At 34.2% G+C, this 7498-nt stretch overlaps 1 long non-coding RNA gene across 1 annotated transcript in view; it reads right to left on the bottom strand.

The window, feature by feature from the left end:
- Window positions 1–1240: 1240 nt before the first annotated feature.
- Window positions 1241–7498, bottom strand: part of LINC02338 (long intergenic non-protein coding RNA 2338) — a 43657-nt gene continuing 37399 nt past the window's right edge. Inside the window, exons 2-3 of the long non-coding RNA NR_120416.1 lie at window positions 4336–4465; window positions 1241–3782 (exon numbers count right to left, since the gene is read on the bottom strand). This is a non-coding gene — a long non-coding RNA (long intergenic non-protein coding RNA 2338). The remainder of the gene's footprint in view (window positions 3783–4335; window positions 4466–7498) is intronic.

Below are 7498 nucleotides of genomic sequence, written 5' to 3'. Positions count from 1 at the left end.
AAGTTAAAAAGAGTCTTATGCCCACAAGAAGATGCTCAATTTTGCCAAAATAGCAGAAATGCAAATTAAAACTTCATTAAAATATTTTTACCTACTTAGCAGAATTTTTTTAAAAAATTTCAAACTTTAGCAGCATACTCTTTTAATTCCCTTTTTCTTTTACTGTCTGCCTTTATTCCCTTTGATAAAAATTTTATTTTTTGAATATATAAAATATGCATAAATTATCAAATTCAATGCTACATAAAAAGAATTATTATGAGGGTTCTAATTATATCTCTGCCTTCCATCCTTGTCTTTCCCTACCATTATAGAAAGCATTTGTATTAATTTTTATTTACTTTTCTAAAACTTATTTTAGCAAATATATATGTATATGAGTGAACACGTTAATACATATACACATTTCTCTTCCTCTTTCTTATAGAAAAAGTGGCATGCAGTACTTATTGTTCTGCACTTTGCCTTTTTCATTTTATATTCCATTCTGCAGATTATTTCCAGTCAGTGCAGAGATGTTCTTTCTTCATTTTTAAAGCTACGGAATGTTTCAGTATGTGGATGAACTATAAATTATTCAACTAGTCCTGCACTCACAGACACCTGAATTATTTCCAAACTTTTGTAATTACAAATTATACCACAGTAAATAACCTTAGACCCAAGCCTTCTTACATTTTTGACAATGTTTCATAGAAGTGGTCTTGCTGGGTCAAGAGCTAAATGAACATATACGTTTTATAGATATTGTTAAATTTATCTCTACTGGGGTTGAACCATTATTTATTCCCAATGTCAATGTAAGATAGATCTCCCCAAAAGTAATGTATTGTCATGCTTTTGTGATGGGGCCCATCTGCAGGTGTAAATGACATCTCTGAGTAGTATTAATTTGCATTTCTCCTATTATGAGTGAAATTGACCCTAATGTGGCCTAACTTTCACAGTAGTGAGGACCAAGTTCTGATTTTTTTTTTAATCTTGCCCAAATTCCCATCTAATGGGTCTGGGGAGTTAAGCCCTACAAACCATAAATTCTCATCAGATGGGTTTTATTTAACTCTGTATATCATGACTTACTTTCCAATCTGACTCTGGCAACACAAGGAGGAAAATCAAAATATTTTTCTCCAAAACATGTTTCTCTGCCATATCTTGAAATTGCCCAGTAAAGTCTCTTGTGGGAAAAATTCACTTCTATAGAGAATCCCCTCTCCCCGTTGTTTTCCTTCCTTCCTTTCCAGATCCATGAGATAACCAACTAAGAACCAGGCACCCTTTTAGGTCCAATAAGAAACATTTTGTCACCTGCTCTCTCTCTGAAGTCTGCTATGTGAGATATTCCTCTGCACAATAAAACTTCATGTCCCATAACCTTTATCTTAACCTGAACATCTCCTTTCTATTGATCCCAGGTCTTCAGATAAACTCAACTGTCAACCAGAAAATGTTTAAATTTACCTATAGCGCTGGAAGCCCCCACTTTGAGTTGTCCCGCCTTTCTGAACCAAACCAATGTATTTCTTAAATGTGTTTGATTGATGTCTCATGCCTCCTTAAAATATATAAAACGAAGCTGTACCTCTACCACCTTGGGCACATGTTCTCAGGACCTCCACGGACCATGATCACTCATATTTGGCTCAGAATAAATCTCTTAAAATATTTTATATAGTTTGACTCTTTTCATTGACAGTAGTTATATACTATCTCTCCTATTCATTTTCCTTCCTGTAGCTTCAGAACTTTGACTTACCCTAAGCTGATGAGTTTTTCTCATTCACTGAATTAATAAACCAAATAGCATGATAATTTTCTCTACTCCCAACACCTCTTTACACTTGTGCTTATATACTCTACGTCAGCAAAGTGCAGAGACAGTGCCGTGTTTTTCTAACTTAAAATGTATGCAAACAAAAAATCCTTTTTTGATCCAACCACCCTTCTTTGCCATTGTTCTGCTTCCAAAATAACTCTTCAAAAATTATCTCTATTTCTTGTCATCATTTTTTGTCTCTCTGAAGTTCACACTTGTCCCTTCACTGGGCTGATTTCATCAAGGTTCCCCAAATCCTCCATGCAGTTAAGCCCCAAAGCCAACCAGAAGCCTTTCTAATTTAGCCTATCAGCATAATTTTATACACATGATCAAATCCTTCTTGAAATACTGTCTTTGCTTCCAAGACAGCACAACCTGGCTTGTTTTCTTTCTCATAAGATGTTATTTTTCACCCCTCCTTGGAACTCTTCCATTCTCCCTGACTCTCCCCTGGGGATTTCACCTAATTTCATGGCTTTAAATGTTAGCTGTATGATAATTAATTACCAAGAGAGACAATAAGCAGGGTTAACAGACACACAGACATTTGCTCTATCAGTTAGTAACTCTTTGTCTTTGGCACAAATACTTAATTTCTTTATGTCTTAGCCTTCTCATGGTAAAATGTTGATAATAATAGTACCTATGGGAATTTTGTATAAATTAAAAACTCATACATATAGTAGAGAAAACAGTTCCTAGGGTATAATAAATACAAAAGAAGCATGAATGGATATTATTTTAGTCTCAGGGAAAATCTCTCTTACTGAAACTGCAGACTCCTAAACACACAGTTATTTTTTTAACACTTTCACCTAGTTATTTTATGAGGCCTCTAAACAATATATACAGAATGCCTCTTGATTTTATGTCTCAAATCTCTCCTCAAATTCTCTTCTAGGTAAAGGGGAGTTCCATTCTTACTTTCACATTCTAAATTTGTTCTATCAGCAAATTCTTTTGACTTTCCCTTCAAAATGGATCAATAACTTGACAATTTCTCACCATCTCTGTTGCTACTATTCTAGTTGGAGCGAGCATCATCTCTTATATCAATTCTTGCCTCAAAATGATCTACTTCTGTTCTTGGCCCTCTTTAACATACATTTCCACACAGCAGCCAGAGTGACTCAGTAGACTATATATTATCTCTTTTTCTGCTTCAATCACTCCCATGACTTTCCTTCATGAAACGCCAAACTCACTGCTCTGGCTTGAAAGATCTCAGAGAATACATTGCCATATGCTTGACCTCGCTGATTTCTAATTCTAGACTTTCTTCCCTCTGGCCTCACTGGCTTCATTCCTACTCCCAGAACATTCGCCTGTGTTCAGCTTCAGGATATTTCTTTTTCTTGTTGGTTTCTCTGTCTGGAATGGTCTCCCTAGAGACATCTACATTTCAGACTTCCTTATAAATTCTTTACTCAGAAATCAATTTAATGGAAAGACCTTCTCTTGTCAAACTATTTAACATTAAATTTCCTCCCTCTACCACCCTTGCACTTCTGTTACCGGTTTTACTTCTTTCATTCACACTTTGAGCATTCTATTTTATTGATTTTTTTCTCATTTATTTTTTGTCTTTCTGTTGCTATAAATGTAAATTCCATAGTACTCTTAAATTTTGTCCCCACTGTGAAACCCTCAGTGTTGGAACAGTGCCTAGCACAAAGAAGACATGTGGCCCGGCACGGTGGCTCACGCCTGTAATCCCAGCACTTTGGGAGGCCAAGGCAGGTGGATCACGAGATCAGGAAATCAAGACCATCCTGGCTAACACAGTGAAACCCTGTCTCTACTAAAAATACAAAAAATTAGCTGGGCGTGGTGGCAGGCTCCTGTAGTCCCAGCTACTCGGGAGGCTGAGGCAGGAGAATGGTGTGAATCCGGGAGGCGGATGTTGCACTGAGCCGCGAACGTGCCACTGCACTCCAGCCTGGGAGGCACAGCGAGACTCTGTCTAAAAAAAAAAAAAAAAAAAAAAAGGCATATATAAATATTAGCTAGATAAATCAATGAATTGAGTAGGCTATTGATTGTTAAAAAAACAAAAAAATGTTTTTTTTATAGACCACTATGTATTTGAAAAGGCAATTTTCCAGAATATAACAAATAAAGGTACGCAAAACATTTGTTTGCATTCATATGTAGTAAATTAAATAGAAGAAAATAAGGGTATTTTCTCTTTTTATTTCTCTCTCTGCTTCTCTATGCATATACACACGTATGCTTATATACACATAAAACTTAAGCACACTTTAATTACTTGCACGTTATGCTTATTTAAGATTCAAAAATTTAAAATATCATGCACAAACAGCTCAAGAGAGATAAAAGAAGCCACAAAGAATTCCTTCATTCAGAAGTTGCTATAGATATTTTAACATGTAAATGTAATATTGTTTATATATATGTTTTATAGAAAATTGAGATTTTTATACTTGTATGAACCCATATTATAATTAAGCAATAGAATCCCATCTTGGTAGGTAGCTACTATGCTGTATACTTACTCCAAATTGTTTTATATTCCTCCATCCTTTACACATAGAAAACTATATTTTATCATATTTTTCCATTTAGATGAGACCAAGTAATTAGCTCAGGCCATGGAAATGTGAGCAGAGTAAATGCACTTCATATCTATAATGAAAAAAAGAAATGCCCTTCAGACTTTCTTTAGGAAGGCTATGCAGCTGTGAAAGAAGCATTCTGGATCTCTGAGTCAGCACCTTGAGATCAGATGCCCAGGATTGGCTCAGTCTGTAGTAGTTTCTGTGTGAGTGAGAAAGACACTTTTGTTAGTTTGTTGAGAGTTACAAGTTGCTTATTACTTCAGCATAGCTTATTCTATTAAGACTAGTACACCCATGAGGGTATCTTCCCCAATCGTTAATTATTTTTCTATATTTCTATTTTATTTCTTATATATCATTCTCTCATAGATGTTTTAAAATCTAAGTACTAATAAAGCAATGATTTAACTATTTCCTAAAATTCCAGTTTCTGATTTGCTTAGCAGTTTGTTCTTCCTCTAGAAAAGTTATTTGCTCTCATATTGCCAATTCTGATCCATTGTCCTCAATAAAAGAGCACGTTGGACTCTAAAGGTAGAATATAAAATATTTATTCCACCTTTTTATATTGGCAATACTGAGAAATTTCCTTGGGTATAAAGTAACAATCTCAGTTTCACTCCCACTTAAGGGATTATTTTCTGAAATAGAACAGCCATTATTAATGGCCTCTGTGATCCACCTGCAAAAGAGGATTTTGACTGGCCCAATTACTTTCTTCTCATACCTTAACTCTGATGCAGGCGTTGTCCTAAGAGTCAAATTATTTCAAGTGTTATAGAACAGAAGCAAGGGGGATTAAAAAAAAGGCAAAGAGATAATGCTGGCTGACAGCTGGAGCGGTGGTTTTCAGTGGGGTGAGGTATAACAGAAGTAAAAGAGTAATCGTGCTGAGTAAAGGAAGTGGCTGAAAAAGAAAAATTATTTCTATTATCTATGACATTTCTATGTATATATCTATAATTTATTGATTATCTATCTATCTATCTATCTATCTATCTATCTATCTAATTTATTTATGTCTCTATCTCCCCCTAATCACATTTAATTAATTCAAGAAAATAGTTTTGACTTTAACTTTGATTTCTGGACTGTGATCTTTGATGAAGATTCAGATCTGAGGTCCGGTTATATTTTATATTATATAAGCAACTCCTACCCTTTTAATTCTATTCATGTTTCAAATCAAGTTTTTAATTACCTCAACCTTTGTTTCATTTATCTTTTCCAAACAGTTTTGCAAACACATCTGTAATAACTGAAATGTATCTCAATTTTTATTTTATTTTTCTCAAACTCAAATGCTCTAGTTCAAATTATATTCATAGATAAAACATGAATTAGATAATCACAACCTGGAAATCTAAAAACCATTGTCAGAAATCAGTTATTCTAATAACTGATTTGTTCCTATCTCTACCGGTATAGTGAAAATGACTTGATTTGCAGTTTATTAGATGACACTACTGGACTTTTATAGTTGCTATTGTTTCTCTTTGGAGAAAATAGTTGGCATGACTAAAATTTAAATACAAAAAGTTAACACAAATATAATAATTATGAAGAGTTCAAATTCAGTTTTCTTTGACAAATTTAATGTTAGTTTTGATCAAATAAAAATATGACATTATCTTAACAGCTATCATAAATATAAACTACTTTTGTCTTCAGAAAATCTCCTGGAGACAGTTAAAGATATCTTATTGATAACACAATTTACATTATATCTCAGTTTTATAGCCTAAAGGGAGAGGCTGACTGTGTATATTATATCAGCATACAGATTTATATGATTCAATATATTTACATCCAGGGAAGTTCAATATTTTATTTTCTGAAGCAAGAAAGTTTTCCTCTCACTGACTCACCCCAGAAGAATGGTGATATACATAACTATATTGGCCAAACTAGAACACATGTCTATATTGGTACTACATCTAGTAGACAAAATATATAAATATATAAATATATAATAAATAAAAATATAAAAATGCATATACAGGCATAGTTATTAAATACAGGCAAATGAATTCAATAATCTAAAATTATTAGTAAAATTGGCAAACAGTTAACAAAACTAATTCTTATTTTCAGTAAGAATGCAGAAAAATGTAAAAACTCATTCAGTTAGTAAAGGGTAAATTGTTACACTAAAAAATAGGTTTATTTTTACATATGAGACAATTTTTTATATGCATGACTCAGAAATTCTACACACAGAAACTTATGCTCTGTAGAAAATAATGATGTTTTATGAAAATATTCTGAAGCTGGGATGCTTATCAGATATTGTTTATTGTCACAAATATTTGAAAAAAGTCAAATAGGTTAAAACAAAGACACAAATAAGTAATCATTAAATTATAAGAGAATACATTCATATGATACAATACCTTCCTTTATTTACATTGGAGAATAATATTTATTTCCTTGGAAAAATATTTCTATTATCTGAAAGAGCTTTTTATTATGTTATTGATACTGACAAGAGACAGGCAAATTCCTAGGTAGACATGGATGGGTTCCTAGTGAAGCCCGACCTTCAAGCCAAGGACAATTTAAAGCCTGAAAACCGAGCTGCCAGATCCAGATTGATTCCACAACTAGAGTGAGAACTTCTATCCCCATCTTACCCACTATCTCTTCATTAGTTCGTTTGGAATGATGCCTTTTAACCAATTGAATGGTGCTTTTTCCAAGGCCACCCACGGACCAATAAGCATGCACTCCCCTACTCTAAGCCCATAAAAACCCCAAACTTAGCCTCACAGATGGCTACCCACTTTCAGACATCCTCTTGTTGCAGAGAGCTTTCTTTCTGTCACTTAATAACATTTTACTCTGCCTTACTCACTCTCCGGTGTCCATGTACCTTATTCCTCTTCGTCATAAGACCAGAACCCAGAACTCACCGAACTGTGGGACTGAAAGAGCTCCTGCTCCTCAAGCTACAGGTGGAGGAAGTAAAAGAGCTGTAATAGTCCCTCCTGCTAGCCAAACAACCAGAGAGGAGAAGCCACTGGGTGCCACTCCCTCCTGCTCACTGAACTATGGGAACAAAAAAGCCACAACATTACTATACTTAGTATAGATACTATAT

This window comes from Homo sapiens, chromosome 13 (genome assembly GCF_000001405.40).
Source record: "Homo sapiens chromosome 13, GRCh38.p14 Primary Assembly".
Taxonomy (NCBI): domain Eukaryota; kingdom Metazoa; phylum Chordata; class Mammalia; order Primates; family Hominidae; genus Homo; species Homo sapiens.
Note: the sequence above shows the minus strand (reverse complement) of the source record. Positions and strands in the feature narration are given on the sequence as shown.